Source organism: Homo sapiens, chromosome 14 (genome assembly GCF_000001405.40).
Source record: "Homo sapiens chromosome 14, GRCh38.p14 Primary Assembly".
In the NCBI taxonomy this organism is placed as follows: Eukaryota; Metazoa; Chordata; class Mammalia; order Primates; family Hominidae; genus Homo; species Homo sapiens.
In genome coordinates this window covers 88,694,889-88,715,820 of record NC_000014.9, presented here as the reverse complement: position 1 = coordinate 88,715,820, position 20,932 = coordinate 88,694,889, and the positions used below count along the sequence as shown (strand labels likewise).

General features: G+C 34.9%; 1 protein-coding gene across 26 annotated transcripts in view; it reads left to right on the top strand.

Annotated features, from left to right (window-relative positions):
- Window positions 1–20,932, top strand: part of EML5 (EMAP like 5) — a 180,523-nt gene that overhangs the window by 77,133 nt on the left and 82,458 nt on the right. For 24 of the 26 annotated variants that reach the window (XM_047431057.1, XM_017021065.3, XM_047431056.1 and 21 more), the window contains 8 exons: window positions 626–882; window positions 3,338–3,550; window positions 9,395–9,562; window positions 10,233–10,339; window positions 10,843–10,961; window positions 13,189–13,375; window positions 18,869–18,974; window positions 20,367–20,460. In XM_047431057.1, coding sequence (XP_047287013.1) covers window positions 626–882; window positions 3,338–3,550; window positions 9,395–9,562; window positions 10,233–10,339; window positions 10,843–10,961; window positions 13,189–13,375; window positions 18,869–18,974; window positions 20,367–20,460 — 1,251 coding nt within the window. Of the gene's footprint in view, window positions 1–625; window positions 883–3,337; window positions 3,551–9,394; window positions 9,563–9,995; window positions 10,102–10,232; window positions 10,340–10,842; window positions 10,962–13,188; window positions 13,376–18,868; window positions 18,975–20,366; window positions 20,461–20,932 lie in introns of those variants that run through there. The other 2 variants (XM_017021066.3, XM_047431060.1) reach the window with 2 other exon arrangements.

Sequence of the window (20,932 nt, the reverse complement as noted above, 5' to 3'; positions counted from 1 at the left end):
TATGGTGGTGTGCACCTGTAATCCCAGCTACTCGGGAGGCTGAGGTATGAGGTGAGAATCGCTTGATCCCCAGAGGTGGAGGTTGCAGTGAGCCGAGATCATGCCACTGGACTCCAGCCTAAGCAACAGAGCGAGACTCTGTCTCAAAAAAAAAAAAAAAGTATTACTGAAGTAATATAGATGAATTCATCCTTTATTATTTCCTAAATGTAATTTTGCACATTTAGCTCCTTACAAAAAAAAATTGTTTGAAAATTATAGTGTTTAAATTAAACATTTTTCATAAACTCCATATTTACAAAGAACTTCTTTTACCATAAAAATCTATTACTTTATTTCCTTTATTCTTTATTAACTCCAGAAATTTAGTATGGATCTCTGAAGTACTTAAAGTAATTTAGAAACTGAAATTCAGCATTTTCCTGTACATCTGGCATATATTGTTTCCATGTATTTCTGTTCAGCAACGTATTGTTGCTGAATTAATACTACTTGTGTTATTTATGTTTACTTTATAGTTTATAAACACTTGATACAGCTTCACGGTCATTTTAGACATGTTTGAAACGGCATTAATTCTGTTGTGACTTCTGTTCATGTAGTCTCATTTTTTTCTTTTTAACAGAGATATGACGGAAGTTGTACATATTAAAGATAGGAAGGAGGCAATTCATGAGTTAAAATATTCACCAGATGGAACTTACCTTGCTGTTGGATGCAATGACAGCTCGGTTGATATTTATGGAGTTGCTCAGCGTTATAAAAAAGTTGGCGAGTGTTTGGGATCCCTTAGTTTCATCACTCATCTGGACTGGTCTTCAGACAGTAGATATTTGCAGACAAATGATGGAAATGGGAAAAGACTTTTTTATAGAATGCCAGGTAACAATTTCTAGCAAATTATAGATTTGTAGTACCTATACAATATTTTAGAGTTTTACTGGAAGCAGAGTGTAAGTTACATTTGATCATAGGAAATCAAAGAAGATCTGAGCTAATATTTCAGGCATTGTAGACTTTTCTACAATATAATACAATATATTATTGTATTCTACAATAATTCTACAATATAATACAATAAGGCTGCCTTATATTGAAATCCTTTTGGGTTTTTTCTCAACTCTATTGAGGTATAATTGACATTAAAAATTGTATATATTGAAAATTTACAATGTAATGTTTTGATAGATACATTGTGAAACCATTTCCACAATCAAGCTAAATGATGTATCTGCCACTTCACAGTTACCATTTTTGTGTGTGTGTGGTGAGAACATTTAAGTTCCACTCTCTTAGCAAATTTCAGGTATATCATACAGTAACAGCATTATTAACTGTACTCAACAAGCTGTATATTAGATCTTCTGAATTTATTCATCCTGTATAACTGAAACTTATATCTCCTTATATCCACCCCGGCCCCCACCAACCTCTACCTCTCCCAGTCCCTGGCAACTACTACTATAAATCCTTTGGTTCTTAATTAAAACTGCTTTGGCTGGAGGATCTAAAACAGATTCTCTTTTTATTGAATACCATACCATGAGTATAGTGTATGGTAAAGTACCACTGTATCTTAGTCAAAAATGCCATTTTTATGGGTGGAACTAATTAAGTGAATATAATTACTAGAAGTGTGTGACCAATACATTTTTTTTGTGTTTATCTCAAATAAACTTTGCAGGCTGGGCATAGTGGCTCACGCCTGTAATCCCAGCACTTTGGGAGGCCACAGTGGACCGACAGCTTGAGCCCAGGAGTTTGAGACCAGCCTGGGCAACATGGCGAAACCCTGCCTTTACTAAAAATACAAAAACTAGCCAGGCATGGTGGTATGCACCTGTGGTCCCAGCTATTCGGGAGGTCGGGATGGGAGGGTCATTTGAGCTTGGGAGGATAAGGCTGCAGTGAGCCGTTATGTTGCCACTGCATTCCAACTATGCCACAGATTAAGAGGCTGTCTCAAAAAAAAAAAAAAAACAAATAAACTTTGCAAATATTAATAATATAACTAACTAACTTTGAAAAACAGAATTGCAACCAAAGATTTTAAAAGAGAGGAATAGGCTATGTGCAGTGCCTCACGCCTGTAATCCCAGCACTTTGGGAGGCCAAAGTGGAAGGATCTCTTGAGCCCAGGAGTTTGAGAACAGCCAGGGAACATGGTGAGACCACATGTCTACCAAAAAAAAAAAAAAAAATGAGCAGGTTGTGGTGGCATGCACCTGCAGTGGGAGGATCATTTGAGCTGGGAGTTCAAGGCTGCTGGGAGCCAAGATCGTGCCAGTGAACTCCAGCCTGGGTGAAAGAGCAAGATCGTGGCTCTAACTAAACAAATAAGTAAATAAATTAACAAGTGAGTGAGTGCATGAATGGATGGAATAAAAGCAGAATCATCAAAATATTACCTATTAGTATTTTTTTTTTTTGAGACGGAGTTTCGCTCTGTTGCCCAGGTTGGAGTGTAGTGGCATGTTCTTAGCTCACTACAGCCTCTGCCTCCCAGGTTCAGGTGATTCTCCTACCTCAGCCTCCCGAGTAGCTGAGATTACAGGTGCCCACCACCATGCCCAGCTAATTTTTGTATTTTTAGTAGAGATGGAGTTTTACCATATTGGCCAGGCTGGTCTTGAACTCCTGACCTTCAGTGATCTGCCTGTCTCGGCCTCCCAAAGTGCTGGGATTACAGGTGTGAGCCACTGCACCCAGCCACTGCATAGTACTTTATTTGTTGTGACGCTTAGGGAATTAGTCACTATCTTCCAATAACCTATTATATAAAATTAGCTGCATAATTCAATTAATGCATCTCCCCAAAAGTTTTTCATTAACAGTCTATATGTAATGAAGACTGACCGGGTCCTAAAGTCCTCTTACCTAATGTAAATATATTATCCTACACTCATCCTTTCTTCTTGGTCTTTTCCAGTTCTCTCTTTTTCCTCAACTATGTATCTTAGGCTTCTTTTTTAATACCTGATTTGCCACTTTCTCATAGCTTTTACCTTTTTTATAACTTACCCTGTTATGACTAATCTGTATCATTTTTTAAATAAGATTCAGTTTTATTCTCCACATAATTGAACCTGCTAAGCTAATCATTCAAGGCAATGTGTGTCTCTGAATCAGTATAATTTCTGTAGTAGCTTTTTATAAATTTCTTGCATTTAGTTTTCTTTTCTCTTAACCCAAACTTATCTACCTATTTATGTATTTTCCTCTAAGTGGGGTGGGAAGATACATTAAATTTTGGAATTTACTATGTTCTCAGTACAGTTTAGGCTTGAGAAAATCAAATGAAATAACTTTTTAAATTAAGACTCTGATTTATTTTTAGGAGGAAAGGAAGTGACAAGTACAGAAGAAATAAAAGGTGTTCATTGGGCTTCATGGACATGTGTTTCAGGCCTTGAAGTAAATGGAATTTGGCCCAAGTATTCAGATATCAACGATATAAATTCAGTAGATGGAAATTATATTGGCCAAGTTTTAGTTACAGCTGATGACTATGGAATTATAAAATTATTCCGATATCCATGTTTAAGAAAAGGTACCTTTTCTTTCAAAATATTAAGTAACCTCTCTCTCACAGAAGACTTTCGTGTTCTTGCAGAAAATTAGTCTTGAGATAAAGGATTTCATATTTTTTAAAATTACACTGATTGGTGAAGGGTTTCATTTTTCTAATTCAAAAATTATTGTCATATGCTGCATTTATTTTGGTCATGAAGTTTTATTAGAAAATTCTTTTTGAATTCATATGTTGTTATGAATGCACTATATCTCTTTCTTTTCAAAGAAACGTTTTTCTTTTCACTTCGTGAATTCTTTCATAGAGTCAGACTGTACAATGATGGTTGTATTTTTTTTTTTTTTTTGAGACAGGGTCTCACTCTGTTGCCCAGGCTGGAGTGCAGTGGTGATCTCTGCTCACTGCAGCCTCCACCTCTTGGGTTCCATCAACCCTCCTGCCTCAGCTTCCCAGGTAACTGGGATTACAGGCATGTGCCACCATTCCCAGCTAATTTTTGTATTTTTAGTAGAGACAGGGTTTCACCATGTTGGCCAGGCTGTGTCTTAAAGTCCTCACCTCAGGTGATCTCCCCACGTCAGCCTCCCAGAGTACTAGGATTACAGGCATGAGCAGGGTCTGATATGGTTTAGCTTTGTGTCCCCAGCCAAATCTCATTTTGAATTGTAATCTCCAGGTGTTAAGGGAGGAACCTGGTGAGAAGTGATTGGATTATGGGGGCAGTTTCCTCTATGCTGCTGTTGTGATAGTGAGTGAATTCTCACGAGATCCAATGGTTTTATAAATGGTAGTTTTTCCTGTGATCTCATGGACTTCTCCTTCATGCCACCCTGTGAAGAGGGTGCCTTGCTTCCCCTTCACCTTCTGCCATGATTGTAAGTTTCCTGAGGCCTCCCCAGCCATGCTGAACTGCTGAACACTTTTAAACCATCAGATCTCGTGAGAACTCACTCACTGTCACGAAAACAGCATGGGGGAAACTGCCCCCATGATTCGATCACCTCCCACCAGGTCTCTCCTTCAACACATGAGGATTACAATTCGAGATGAGATTTAGGTGGGGACACAGAGCCAAACCATATCAAAAGACTGGCTAAATATCTAACAATTAAAGTACCCTATTTCTGAGTCCCACCACATAGCCAGGACATGAGAGTCACCATGCACAACAAATTTTAAGATGATACTTGCCTGGTTATGAAGTGTGAGATTCAGTAGTAGTCATGATGATCTTCCTCTTAGACGTTGCTCCTACTTACTGTTTCACATACTGACCTCTATGCAAAAACAAAAATGCTTTAATCTTCTTAGTTTTCTTAGTCAAGTGAATAGGATTTATTGATTATTTTTATCATTTGCAAGAGAGAAGTCGATATTATTGCACAATAATTTTATTTCATTTATAAAATGTGTAGTAGTTCTTTGAACTGCTGTGTGAATATTTTACCAAAGCCTAAGAAAATTAGTCTTGTCTAAGAGATTATTCACTCCTTCAAGGACATAAGTATAAATTGCTTCTCTTTTTTGTTTCCCATTTGTTAGCTTTTTTGTTAGTAATTTATTTTCTAGTAAGGATGATTTCTATTTCTAGGCACTTGTGAGTCAGCTTGAGATTGTAGCTAGGTAAGTGGGAAAGACAGAATACGACTACTGCATTTTTAATGGATTAATATAAGTATTTTAAGATTTTATGTTTTGCAGACCACTTAGGCCAAAAAAGATTATGTATTAATTGAATTCACATAATTACATACCTTGAAGTTGGCAGTATTACTAGAAATATACTCTTTCTTTTAGATTAATTATTAAGTTGCATTGCTAGTCCAACTTAGAAAAATGTAGCTGGTGTATTAATATATTTTAGATATCCACTCAGGTAATATTCATTAGGTGACTTCTTAGAAGTGCAGCATTTACAAAATGTGGACTTTAAATAATAGAAGTAGTTTATGTTATAGAATCATTGTAATTGAAACAAAAAATATACGAAGTTAGCTCAAAGAGAGAATGATCATATGAACCACATATACCCTACATACTGCACTTTAATTTCAGCCCAAAGCATTCCACCCCTCTTCATATTTTTTTCTTCATTATCATCCTCTTTTTCTCTAGTTTCACCTGCTCTTGACCATAATCTCTCTGAAAGAATCCAGGACTCTTCCTAGGCAGCAGCATAGGGGCTGTGGTGGACAGTGAGCAGGTCAGGGTCAGGGAGAATGGAGAGGTGAGGGCAGAGTTACGTTAGCCCATCACCTCCATCACTGTTAATAATGGCCAAGACCCCCTCTGTACTTCTTGTTGACAAATGAAAATTTATATTTGGAGAAAATATCATTTAGATTCCAGGAAATTCATAGGAAAAACCAAATATCTAACAAAGAAAAATTTATAACGGGGACTGATTCAGTGCTGTTTTCCATATTGTTGCGTGTAGCTTTAATGCCTTTTTTTCACTGCTGCAAAATATTGTGTTGTAAGTATATGCTGCAATTCATGCATTTATTCTCCTGTCATTGGACATTTGGGTCATTTCCCATCTTTTGATATTAAATGCAGGTTTCTCAAAGGAGTGAAATAACTAGGAGTGAAATTTCTGGGTCATGGAGAATGTGAACGTTATAAGAAAATACCTAAATATTTTCCAAAGTGGTTATCCAGTTTTACAAAGCCTATTGATTCAGCACTTGATATTGCTATACTTTCTAACTTTTGCAAACCCAGTTGGTGTAAATGATGTCACATTGAGGTCTTAATTTCCATTTGTCTGACTACAAATGAGGTTAACCATCTTTTAAAATATGTTTTGGTCTTCTGTGTTTTCTCCTCTGTCAAACATGGGTTCATATCTCTTTCCTATTTTCTGTTGGGTTATTTCTTTTATTGATCTTTAAGAATTACTTTATATACTCTAATAATACAAATGCTTTGTAATTTTTATAGTTTGCAAATATCTTTTCCCAGTTTTTGGCTTGCCTTTTTATTTTCTTAATGATGTGTTTTCTTGGCCAGTTCTTAATTTCAGTGTAGTCAAGTCTATTTCTCTTTCTTTTCTTATAGGTAGTGTAGTTTTGTATATTAAGAAATTCTTACTTTTACTAGGGTCAGAAAGATATTTTCATATATTTATTATTCCCATATCTAGAAGTTTAATATCATTAAAACATAGTTAAATGGAAAAAAATCTTTTGTCATATTGATACCATATATTGAAAATATTTAGATCATATTACCCTTGTGTGAAAATACACATTAAAACACATTATAAAAGAAATGGAATCATTGAAACACAAATATTTTAGTATATTTCTTTATCCTTACCAAGAATTTTCATCCTCTTTTAAATTAGGAAGCTTCTATGATCATTATAGTTTGTCTTGATAAATTTTTTCTCTGAGATATTTGTACTAATTGATGATACACTGTTTAGGCCTTAACTATTCTTATTACTGAATCATTTTTTATCATAGTTTTCATAATCAAAAGGTACCTTGTGAGCATATAATCCAATTTACATTTAAAACTGAGAAAATGGAGTCCAAAAGAGGTTTGGTGGAATGCTCAGACTTCCGTGCTATTAAATGATGCTCAAGCACTAGTCTTTTGATTTCAATTCTAATATTCTTTAAGGCACATCAAACTTTTGCCCTCTTCTGTGCATTATAGGGGTTGGAATCATGTTCATGCCCTCTCAGTTTCCTTTACTACTCTTTCCTACATTACAGTCTAGCATTCCAACTCAAAAGTCCAAGCAGAGCAAAAGGAAATATAATCTTTGCTTTTCCTTTCTTTTTCTCTTTCTTCAAATATCTAATGAGTGTTTGCTATATACCAGGCACCAGAGATATATATTAAACAAGACACCACTGCTGTCTTTAAAGAGCTTATAGTTTTATTGGAGGAGTTAACAAGTAAATAGACTATTACATTTCAGTGTTATATAAATATAATCACAAGGGGTAATCACAGAGAATTCTGGAAGCATGTAACTTGGTCTTGGTGAGTCAAAGTCATTTCATGAAAGATATGATATCTAGGTTCACTTTTAAGATACCCATTTATCAGAACAAGTTATTAAAAATTAAACTGGTTATTAAAAAATTAATACAGTCCCATTGACTAAAAATACTGGTTTCTCTTAGACTTATTTTACAACTTTCTTGTTTAGCTGCCTTGGTTTATCCAAGAGGGTCTTTGAGAAGTCTCAAAGAAAAGTTTGGAAGGGACTTACAGGATTATTTGTACCTCTCTCTATCACTCGGTATAGGCAGATCAGATGCTGAGATAACTCTTTAATTGTCCTAACATAACAAATTAGTAGATCTTAGAACTTGGAATTTTATTTGTTAGAATTTCTGGCTTTAACTTTTCAGACTCTCTGATGTCTAAGAGTGCTTAAGGGTTGCATCAAAGGTAGTAGTAGTAGCCAAAGCCCTCTTGACAGGCAAGTAATGCATTCCTATATAAGAGCCCTTACCTCATAGGACTTTGCTGGGCTGAACTATGCGAAGTTAAATTAGTGACTTATATTAAGCTACATAAAAAATTTATTCCTAAAATAACAGTATTACTATTAAGCAGCAGTAAATTATAACTTTAGATGAGTTTTGATTCTATCTCATGCATTAATGATGATAGTTATCTTAAATTAATGACTAAGATGAAAGTTTTTCTCCAGAATTTCGTTGATGGGGCTTTGACATCCTGATATACAAGTCTTCTATAACTTAATATAAAGTGTTTAAAACAATATCAAAAGGAAGCTAAGCATCATTGTATCCTGTGTATTTTAATAAGAATATCTGTATAATGCCACATACCAGGAGGAGGAGATAGAGAATATATTCTAAAAATATATTCCTGTCAGATGTGGTGGCTCATGCCTGTAATCCTGACACTTTGGGAGGCTAAGGCAGGAGGATTGCTTGAGCCCAGGAGTTCGAGACCAGCCTGGGCAACATAGCAAGACCCTGTCTCTGCCATAAATAAATAAATAAATAAATAAATAAATAAATAAAATATATCCCTATTATCACATAGATTTTTAAGAAAATTAACCACAAAGTTAAATGATTCCTTTATTATTGGAGAAATTGGGTGTATACCACCATAGCCAAATGATGCAGCTTAACATCTCTAATGATAGAACTGACCATATCCCCTGAAATGACATATCCAAAAGGATACAACATTGCCCTTACCCAAAACACATCACCTGAATCTAATCATGAGGAGGCATTAGACAAAACCCAAATTGAAAGATTTTTTTTAAATATCTGGATTTTTAAAATGATTATAAAGGACATTGTTGGAACAACTGGGCATATTTGACTTTGATTAATATGATGCATTACATTGATTGACTTTTTAATGTCGAACCAAACTTGCATTCCTGGCATAAATCTCATTTGATTATGTTGTGTAATCCTTTTTATATGTTGCTGAATTCATTTTGCTAATATTTTCTTGATGACTTAAGTCTTAAAAGGATCCTCTGGCTGCTTGGGTTGAGAATAATGGGGGTAAGGTCTAGTTGATTAGTCCTTTGAATTTCACTTAAGCCCAAAGGCCTCAGGCCAAAACATTCAAATGTTTTAATATAAAAACAGTTGATCCCCAGGTTTTTCTCAAAGTGGTAAGATAATGCCTCACAGCCTTTGTGGTTCCTTGTGAATCAGCAGAGGAGATATTTGCATTCCTTGATACAGATTCATTCATTTGTTCAATTTTTGAGTCAGCATTTTTCCCATTTGTTTATAATTCAGATAGAAGGATGATACAGTGGTTCATATATAAAAATTGTTTGAAATGGTATTTTGTTTAGCATTTGTTTATCAATTTAAAGATATATTTTTATTATAGGGGCCAAGTTTAGAAAATATATTGGCCATTCAGCTCACGTAACTAATGTCAGATGGTCACATGATTATCAGTGGGTTATTTCTATTGGTGGAGCAGATCACTCTGTCTTTCAGTGGAAATTTATTCCTGAAAGAAAACTGAAAGATGCTGTTCACATAGCACCCCAAGGTGAGTAGTATGCATTAGCTAAACAGTTTCCCTGTCAAATAATTCTTCAGTAACCCCCAAATAACAATTTTATATTAAAGTATAATCTGGCCTCATAAGTTAACAGTGTAGTTTGTTATTAGTAGAAATTTCAAGTTAAAATATTAGTTCTATATGTTTAAAGTTAGATGTCACAGAGTGTGAAATACAAAGTAATTTTGATTGCGTTTTAATCTATCAAATAATGAGTGAAGAAACAGTTATATTAATAGCAAAACAAACATTTAATATATCCTCTGAGAGATGGGTATCTAGATTTTGTAAATGCTTTTATTGACAAAAATTATCTAATGTCAATTCATCTGTTGCATATAGTATTTTTAGCTATTTTTCATGTTAATTATAGGTTATATTCACTTATATTTGCACAGACATTTAAATTTGATGTAGCGGTCATTGGGGAGCCAGTGAAGGGATTTAAAGGAGCTATTGAGTTTGCAGTGAGTGGAGAGGAAGATAATCTGTAGTACAGTTTACTGACATCTGTGTCACTTGAATAGGTAATTTCATTTGATTGTTTTATGGCTTGTCTCCATGTCAACTGACATAGCTCTTAATCATTAATTTTTCAGTGCTGTTTTGAAAATGAATCTTCTTTAAACAAGTAACATTTCATTTTTAAAAATTACAGAAAGTCTGGCTGACTCTCATAGTGATGAATCAGATTCAGATCTGTCTGATGTTCCAGAACTGGATTCTGAAATTGAACAAGAGACACAGCTCACCTACCGTCGACAGGTAATTTTCCATATCACATGGTTTTTCTCTAAAAAGTCTAATTTCTTCTTTATCTTGCTCCCCGTTAGTCATCTGTTGTTATCTTTTGTGGCTTTAATTTCTCAAGCAATGTATGACTATATTAGTTTTCCCACTGTCAGTGTTAGAGTACACTTGTGTAAAATTTTTTTTATATTAAATGCTTGGTATATTAAGTATGCTTGCCTTCTATTTGCCTATAGGATTTTGTCATAGTATACTCACATTTATTCCTTTAACAATATTCTTTTATGAAGTATAAAAATTTCCTGGAACACTATGTATCTATTTGTCAGTGTGATATGTAGAAAATGTGAATTTGTTTGTTCTTTCCGAGGGAGTAAATTTCATGAATTAACTTTTCATTTAAGACTACTATTAAAGCTGTTGTTTTCAGACAATGTCTGAAAGTTATATTGGGAGTATACGAACACCTTTATTAGTATATATTCTAAGAATATTTCTACTTGTATACATTTTTAAAGGTTTACAAAGAAGATCTACCTCAGCTTAAAGAACAGTGCAAAGAGAAACAAAAAAGTGCTACTTCTAAAAGAAGAGAGCGGGCTCCAGGAAATAGTATTCGATTACACTTTGTTCACGGGTATAAAACAACTATCTTTCATTTATTTGTTTGAATTTTGGTTCACACTTACTAGCTTAACATCTCTAATGATAGAACTGACTGTATCCCCTGAAATGACATATCCGAAAGGATACAACATTGCCCATGGGGAAAACACATCACCTGAATCTAATCATGAGGAGACATTAGACAAAACCAAATTGAAAGATATTTTTTAAAATATCTGGATTTTTAAGATGATTATAAAGGACATTGTTGGGACAACTGGGCATATTTGACTTAGAGTAATACATTACATTGTGTGTAATATATTAATGATATGTGTGCTTTGTGACTTTAAACAAGTCACTTAACCTCTCTGTGTCTCTTTTTTTCTGTCTGTAAAATGGAGATAATAGTACTGTGTTAGTCCATTTCACATTGCTATAAAGGAATACCTGAAGCTGGATAATTTATAAGGAAAAGAGGTTTATTTGGCTCAGTGTTCTGCAGGCTGTACAAGCAGGGCACCAGCATCTGCTCAGCTTCTGGTGAAGCCTCAAGAAGCTTTTACTCATGGCAGAAGGCAAAGGGGGAGCAGGTGTGTTACCTAGCAAGAGAGAGAGCAAGGAAAAAGGGATCGAAAGGGAAGGGGGTTTCTGGACTCTTTAAGCAATCAGATCTTGTATGAACTAATCAAGAGAGAACTCACTCATCACCAAGGGGATGGCACCAAGCCATTCATGAGGGATCAGCCCCCATGACCCAAACACTTCCCACCAGGCCTAATATCCCACACTGGGGATCACATTTCAGCATGGGATTTGGACAGCACAAATATCCGAATCATATCAAGTACCTACCTTACAAGGTTCTGATGAGGAGTGAATAAGGCAATGCTAGTGGTGACTTACAACATTATGTGGCACATAATAAGCACTATGTAAGTGTTTATTAAATAAAAAATAAATTTGTCTTATGAAAGTTTCATATGTATGGAAATGGGCCTCTTTAAACAATTAAGTAAAATGTAAGAGATAATCATCTCCCCTCAATATGTCTAATTTGGAATGATATTGTGACTTCTTCTTGCATGAGCATTTTTGCCTAAATATTTTAATTTCACCAAAATACGGGTTCTGGATTCTCTTAGAACATCTGGCAATACGGGTCTCACATTTCAGCTTGGCAGAAACAGATTTTCCAATCTGACTCTTTTCTACCATTCACCCAGCATTCGTTTTCTTACCTGACTGATAATACTTATCAAGAATTTGAAAAAGGATTTAATTAGTACAAGTATTTTTTCTCTAGTGTTAAAATGGCAGTAGTTTCTATGCAGTTGTATTTTATGAATTGGGTTTCTTTGAAGTGCAAACCAAGGTTGCTATAAATAGACTTATATTGACCATTTTAAGATTTGACTACTTTGTCTTGGATGAGGATAATATTTTAAAATTGTAGTTTAAACTTATTTTTGGAATATACGTTGTATTCTCATGGTCCAACAATGTGTATAAAAGGGTACAGTTTGAAAATCTTTCTCCCACCTCTGCCCTCCCAGCCATCATTTCCCCTCTCTGCAGATAGTTACTGTTACTTAGTTTCAGAAATACTTATACAACAAATACAAATATACTTTTCTATACCTTTTACTTATAAAAAGCAATTGTTTTTGTTTTATAGTATACAATTTTAATATTATACTTATGTAAATGGTAGTATACTATACATACTATTTTCTACCTTGTTTTTTTCACTCAGTATTATAGCTTAGATTTAGCTATTTGCAGTCCGAGCAGTTCATAAAAGTTTATTGGATCTGAGATGGTGGTATTTTTTTAATTGTTCAGGCTGGGCATGGTGGCTTACACCTGTAATCCCAGCACTTTGGGAGGCCAAGGTGGGTAGAGCTCCGGAGTTTGAGACCAGCCTGGGCAACATGGCAAAACCCCATCTCTATGAAAAATACAAAAATTAGCCAGGCATGGTGGCGCACAGCAGTAGTCCCAGCTACTTGGAGGGCTGAGGTGGGAGGATCGTTTGAGCCTAGGTGGTCAAAATTGCAGGGAACTGCAGTCACACCACTGCACTTCAGCCTGAGTGACAGAGCGAGACCCCATCTCTTGAAAAAAAATTGTTTAGTATCCTGTAAAACTGGAAATTGAATGATTCACCCAAAGGGTACCTACTTCTCCCCTGTATATTCTGTATTGATCAGATAAAAGGCCAAAATTAATTATATATGATTTGTTTTCTATATTAGTTACAGAGGTTATGACTGTCGAAGTAATCTGTTTTATACTCAAATTGGTGAAATTGTGTACCATGTGGCAGCAGTGGGTGTCATTTATAATCGACAGCAAAACACACAGCGTTTTTATCTGGGTCATGATGATGATATTCTCTGCCTAACTATTCATCCTTTGAAAGACTACGTGGCAACAGGCCAGGTAGGTTTGAAAGACTGACAATAAGCCAGATAAGCTACACCTTTGTTTGAGTTTAAATAAATTAATCACATATCTCTTTTATGTTCTAGGATATGAAGAGTAAAGAATTCTTTAGAATGAGTTTTATTTTCAGATTATAAATAAAATTTACCCCAAACTTTTTTCCTACAGTTTTAGAGTTTTTATTATTTTAATTCATATTATTTTAATTTAAATTTGGAACTCATAGCTCTGGCTTGTTTTATTTCTGTCATGATATTAATTTTTTAAATTAGTAAAATTAGAGAAAACATAAAGACTAGAAATCTGGTGTCTTTAGGTTGAGTTACCTAAAACAAATGTAAATTATTTAACAAATGTCCTGTGACAAACCAAAGGACTATGTCTCTTTATTTTACAACCATGATAGTAATCTATTCAGGTTTACCAAAGTAGAAAGCACAAATATTGAAATAAAAAACCCTGAGAAAATCTTAACTGATACCTCTCTATATGGATATTCTTAGAGAAGGAAGGGAAGAAATGATGTTTATAGATTCTTCCTTTGTGTAAGTACTTTACTAGTTTATTAATGTATATTTATTTTATTCTCACCTCAACCATGTGAGAGTAAAATTATTTCCTTCAGTCTACAAATGATGAGGTTTAGGTTTGGAGAAATTAAATAATTTGCTTAAGATCAATCAGTTAATAGGTAGTAAAGCCTAAAGCCTTCAGTCTGTCTGGCTTTAAACACTGTGTAAATATACCTTCTAGCTAGGATATGTGGAAAAGGGATCAACTTGCATCCTCCTATATAGCTTTCCTGAAAGGAGAGAAAACTCCTCCCTTTTTTCTTTCTCCCATTCTTCTTCCTTTTTCTTCCTTTCTTTGTGCCTCTCCTTACTTGCTCTTTCTCTCCTTCCTTTCCCTCTCCTTCTTCCTTTCTTTCATTCACTCAAAAACATTCATCAAGCACATTCTATGTACCAAGAAATGTGCTAGGAATATAAAGATAAATAAGACAACTTCTTGTCATGGTGAAAACTCACATTCTGAGTTGTGATACAGTGTCCTAAGTATAGAGCAGAGAAGCTTCTCTGATCTATATTTATGACAATACCTTAGCACTATTGATGTTTCGGGGCAGGTAATTATTTGTTGTGGGAGGCTGACCTATGCATTGTAGGATATTTAGCAGCATCCCTGGTCTCAACCCATTAGAAGCCAGGAACACCCACTTCCCTGAGTTGTGGCAACCTAAAATGTCTCCAGACAGTACCCAGATGTCCCTTGGAAGGCAAAATCACCCTGTTTTTAAATGTAGAAATATGTACAAAGCCTGGTAGCAATGTAATGAAGAACTAATGATTAATTTTGCCCAGTAGAATCGAAGAAACCCTCATAGAGATGATGACATTTGAGCTGAGTTGTTTACCTGGCAGAGGGGAAGTTGGGGGAAAGCATTCTAAGTGTATTACAGCATCTGTAAAAGTAGGGCAAAAAAAAACCCAGCTTATTTAAAGAACTATGAGTAACTCACAGTGTTCAAATCTTAGAATGCATTATGGACATTAGTTGAGGAACTAATCAGGAGGGTAGGTAGAGGTTAAAACTACCTGGTTATCCTATATATTAACACAAACTGGGTCTTGGATGCACAGTTGTATTTAATGGTTTACGATCTAACCTTTCCGGTACAGGCACTTTCTGAGAAACGTTTGTCCTCATTTGGGACATTTTGTTGTCAGGTTTTTGTGTTTGTTTTTGTGGGTATTTGCCTCATTCCACCTCTGAGTTTTCAGGTAGACAGATGTGATTAAAAACTCTGTTCTAAGGTGCTTGTTGTAGTGGAGTAATGGGTTTGCAGTAATAAGTCATGCTTTTCCACTGAAGGGGAGGGCTTGGGAATCCCTGAGACTAGATAAAGTTAAGTCGTTGGAAGAATTCCTTGATTGGAAATTTTTCCTTTGTGTTTTGATGCTTTGTTTCCTGAAAATAACTCAGGGATGCTCCTGGTTTGTCCATCTACTGTTTTGATTCCTTGGATCCCACCCATTCTTTCACTTTAAGAAAAAAAAACAAATAATTGTTGCAGAGGTCTCTGTATTTTGCAGCTTCCCTTTTGTAAGAAGCACTTTTCCCAAATAAAACAATTTAAAAAAAAAGAAATTTAGATGAAAAATCTAGAGAGTTTTGTCTTTTGGAGAATTAAATACAAAGAATAACCTCTTGTCAGTAACTGTGATCTTAAGTGGAAATGAAAGAATGTGAAAGAAACTTACCTGGAAAGTCGAATAACATGACTAATTGTACTATAATTTGGAAATTTTGTTTAATTCAGCAAATACTTGTTGAGTGCTTCCTATTCAAAAGCATTAAATGTTGTGGGGAAACACAGAGATAACTCAGACTGGCTGCCACTATCGGGAGCTCACAATGTAGTATAAGAATTGGACAAATTATTCTGTGTGTATATGTATGTGTGTGTGTATATATGTGTGTGTGTATATATAGATATAATTCACTAAAAATACACTGATTTAGATGTCTTGTGGGCAACTCAGATTCAACATATCTAAAATGGAGATAAATAGGATTAATCTTCCCTTCCAAACCTGTTCATCGTTTCGTGTTTCCTTCTTAGAACATAGCAGTGTATTAACTTGGTTGCCTAAGCCTGGAAGTTAATCTTGTTCTTCACCCCTAAAGCTAGTCAGTCCTCAAGTAGCACCCATTCTTTCACCTGAATATATATTTATTCTTTATCTTCAATATTCTTTTCATCTTTAATTTTTCCATATCTCTACTGACAATCAATGCTTCACAATTTCTAAAACATTACTATAGCCATTGGTCTTCTGCTTTTTTCCTCTATCCATTTTTCCCATTCACTAGTAATCTTTCTAAAAGTCTTAAAATTCTTTCATATTTATTAGTGTTAATAGCCTGTAGGCTGTCTAAACAGCTGTCTAAATAGCCACAAGCTATAAATGATAAGAGATAAAAAGGGGAGGTTGGAGAGTCAGACTTGGTTAAATGCAATTCAAGGCATAACATTAATGCAGAGTTGGAAGTTGACTCCCAATGCAATTCAAGGCATTTAACCAAGTCTGACTCTCCAACTCCCCTTTTTATCTCTTTCTATTTGCCTCTTTGTAAACTATTTTTTTGCCTTCTGAGATAGATAGAATTTGTCCAACACGTATAATGCTATTTCACATCTTTTACTTAGTTCCTTCGTCTTGGAAAACTCTTCCCCTCCACTTCTATTCAACCTTCCAACTTTATCTAATTTCTGCTCCTTTTAAGACTTAGGCTAAGCCTATCTGAGAACTCTCCCAACCTCTCCCTTCTCCCCTTCATCCCTGAGTGAGATGCCCTAAGTGTACTTTAATAGTACTCAATATTATACTAAATACTGTCTATACCTCATGGAATGTGATATTGAAATCCAAGCCTTTCCACTTATTCGCTACTGGCAAATTACCTAACCTCTCTTTACCTTCGTTTCTTCATCCTTTAAAATAAGGATGTTATCTGTTCCCATCTCGTAGAGTTGTTGTGATTGGTACATGAGTCAATGTTCGTAAGGTGCTTAGAACAGTTTCTGGCACATAAATTACTTCTCAGTGAGTGTTAGTCATCATCATAATTTCCAGGTGAGATGTCCAGTAGACAATTGAAAATGTAAGTCTTGGATTCAGAGGAAAAGTAACTGCTCGAGAGAAGGACTTGGGAGGTATTTATTGATTTAACCACTGAAACTATAGAAGTGAGATACCTCAGGGCAAAAATGAAGAATGAGAAGACTGGAGAATTAAAGACCACCTTGGGAGAGGTTTGTATTTAAGTAACAGGTGAGGAAATTGAGAAGGAAACTCAGTAGTAGGAGTCAAGGAAGCTGGGCGCCGTGGCTCATGCCTGTAATCCTAGCACTTTCGAAAACTGAGGCGGCAGATCACTTGAGCCCAGGAGTTCAAGACCAGCCTGGACACGTAGTGAAACCCCATCTTTACAAAAAATACAAAAATTAGCCGGGCATGGTGGTGCATGCCTGTAGTCCCAGCTACTTGGGAAGTTGAGACAAGGAGGATCACTTGAGCCTGGGAGGCGGAGGTCGCAGTGAGCCAACATCATGCCATTTCACTTCAGCAGGGCAACAGGAGTGAAACCTTGTCTCAAAAAAAAAAAAAAAAAAGGAAACTGGAGAACCAGAAGAGAGTAGTACAGTAAAATCATCAAAAGCATCAAATTCTGTAGAAGTTTTTATATAAAAAGAAAACTTAAAAGTTACTGGTACTACTGTGTACCCACAAAAAATGTTAAAAATTTTCTAAAAAGTTACTGGTAATGTTTGGCTGAATAACTTAGTGAAATATTGGCTGATTGCAGTGTTATTTGTTATATCTTTTTATAAAATCAATCTCGGCCAGGTGCGGTAGCTCACACCTGTAATCCCAGCACTTTGGGAGGCCGAGGCAGGCAGATCACCTGAGGTCGGGAGTTTGAGACCAGCCTGACCAACATGGAGAAACCCTGTGTCTACTAAAAATACAAAAAATTAGCTGGGTGTGGTGGCACATGCCTGTAATCCCAGCTACTTGGGAGGCTGAGGTAAGAGAATCACCTGAACCCAGGAGGTGGAGGTTGCGGTGAGCCGAGATAGCGCCATTGCACTCCAGCCTGGGCAACAAGAGTGAAACTCCATCTCAAAAAAAATAAAAAATAAATAAATCAGTCTCAAAATTAACTATAATTGACAGCTCTATTAATTATTTCAGGAGTTGTCTCTATATACAAAGATATTATATCTCTTTATGCTTATGGTTAAAGAAAGTGATTACTTGAGTCTAGAGGAATAATTAAGAATTGATAGTTTACCTGTGCATTAGTGAACATCATAAACCAAGTTAAAAAATAAGTGACAGAGTGCTGCAGTAGATTTGCCTTTTCAGGTCTATAGACATGCTTGGTACTTTAACCCCCTCTGAATATTTGTTTACCCCATTATTTTAGTCTAGAATTCTTTATATTCAAGTTCTGTGCTTTCTGAAGGCCCACCTCCAGTACCTTCTCTTCTATGGACTCATTCTGCACAGCCTTTTCATGTTCATTAAGCATCTATTAAGAGGTGTTTGTCTTTCATTGATAATGTCCTGTTTTTCCAGTGAGTTTGCAAAAGTTACCTGAATGTCTTATTGCTCGTTGTATCTAGCATACAAACAATAGATATTCAGTAAGCATTTATCATCTTTATTGATGAAATATATGATAAAAGTCACATAGTGTTAGTTACATCATTCCTGGAAACACTGAGCCTAGCCTCATTAGCTTTTGAACAAGCATAAGAAAAAAATATCAGTCACTTATATAGTTTGCTTTAAATTTTTATTTAATAAATTTCTGTGGTAAATAAGTCAAGCTGTAAAAATCTCTTGTTTTATTTCCTTTTAGTAGATATGGAAATAAATAATTTAATTGTATTTAATAGCTTCTATAATTCTATTTTAGGTTGGTAGAGATCCCTCAATTCATATATGGGATACAGAGACCATTAAACCATTGTCCATATTAAAGGGCCACCACCAGTATGGTGTTAGTGCCGTTGATTTCTCAGGTAAGGCTGTTTGCTGTCTCAGTAAGAATTAACAAAATGCAGAGGCAACACATAGCATTTTAATCTAAGTCAGTGTTACCTAAGCTTGTCATTTAGCTGTGACATTCACAGTTTTTATCAAATGTGTATACTGTTATCCTTATCAAATACTATGAAAGTGTGGATTTGCTAGCTAGTTTATAATTATAACTTAATGAGTATAGTTTTAATACTTATTAAAATTTACATGTTTCTGTTAACATAAAAATGTTTATCTACGTAACAACCTAAATTCATCTCAGTTACCACAGGTGGTTTGCATCTCCCACGCTGGGAGGGCACTGATCTCACTTACCGTTTTATAGCCAGAGTAAACTTTGAAAATGTTTAGGGTAAAAGGCTAGCAAAGAAAGAGTTGAGAATTGAAATACTTATTTTAGACATATTTATACAGTGACAATTTTAAACTGTCTTGTAAAAATAATTTCAGATCATATTAGCGCTTTTCTGTTTGTTTAAAAGTTTGACCACTACAGATAGATCTACGGTGAAAGCTAGGGTGTGAATTGGGAAGAGGGAGGAAATACATTAATAGAGAATTCTATATTAAGAAACAGTGAATTAATGCTTTTGCTGCTCTGACTGAAGTGATAAATTATCCATAGTAGAGTTCAGAGGGAAATATATATATATATATATATATTCAAAGAGTTGCTAACAGTTAAGAAACTAGAAAATGAATTGCAAGCTAAGTGAGTCACCACGAAAAATACCACTGGAGCAGTGAGGAACTAATTGAGACTTGCAAAGTGTGGTAAAATGGAAAATATTTTCTTGTGGTCTGAGCCTTTACAGCCTGTAAACATGCACACCCATAGGATATTCACTGATCATTTGTCGCAGTGATTTGTCTAATATATTCATTATGTATTGCTTGAATGATTGACCTTTACTAAAAGTAGTCATATTAGTGGCAGCATGTTGTTGTAACTTACGTGTTTTTCATTTGATTAACTTTTCATAATTACTCAAAGTTCTTATATTACAGTAAATTTCTTATGATGAATTTAATTAAATATTTTCTTCATCCCTTTGTTAGTTTTCCCTTTCCTTCTATTTTTTAAATCTCTTTTTTCCATTTTTCTTATCTCCCTCCTCCCATCCCAACCTGATGGATAGATAAGGGAAAAGGAGATCAGGTGCGATGAGAGCAGATACATTTAGAGGATTTGAGAAACTTTTATTCTCCCTCCCTTATAAATTCTGGTTCTTTTTATAGGTGTATGCATGCCTAACATTTAACATTATTTTATCAAATTTTAAATATAGGATGTGGGTTTAGAATATATACTGAATGTTTTCTCTCTTCTGAATGTTAATAGTCAGTTTATCTCTCTCATTAATTTTCCACAGCGGATGGGAAACGTTTGGCATCAGTTGGCATAGATGATAGCCATACTGTTGTGCTCTGGGACTGGAAGAAAGGAGAGAAACTTTCAATAGCAAGGTAGGAAAAAAACTTGATATCACATTTGCAAAATACTAGAATTACTTTGGACTTAAAAAAATTTTTAATTAAAAGAATTTTGAAATCAAGCAAATATGTAACTTTTTATTGCTTCCATGTTTATTACCATTGAATAAATAATATAATCATAGTAAATGATTTCAGAATTTCTTTGTAGATTTATCCCTTGTGAACCCACTTTTAAATATAACTATAATATGGCATTGGATATAACTATCTAAAATCTCCACGTACAGTTAGAATGTGTTCTACTGTATGATAGGCTATTATATAGCTGTTGGAGACCATGTTCAAATGCTTATATTATATATTAAAGTGAAAAAAGATATATATGCATATATGTCACAAAGAAGTTATAGGTTTTTATTTTCTTATATTTTTCTTCATTTTCTAAGTTTTCTACAGTGAGCATGTATTTTTTATAGTAATATTAACAATGCTTTAAAGGAGG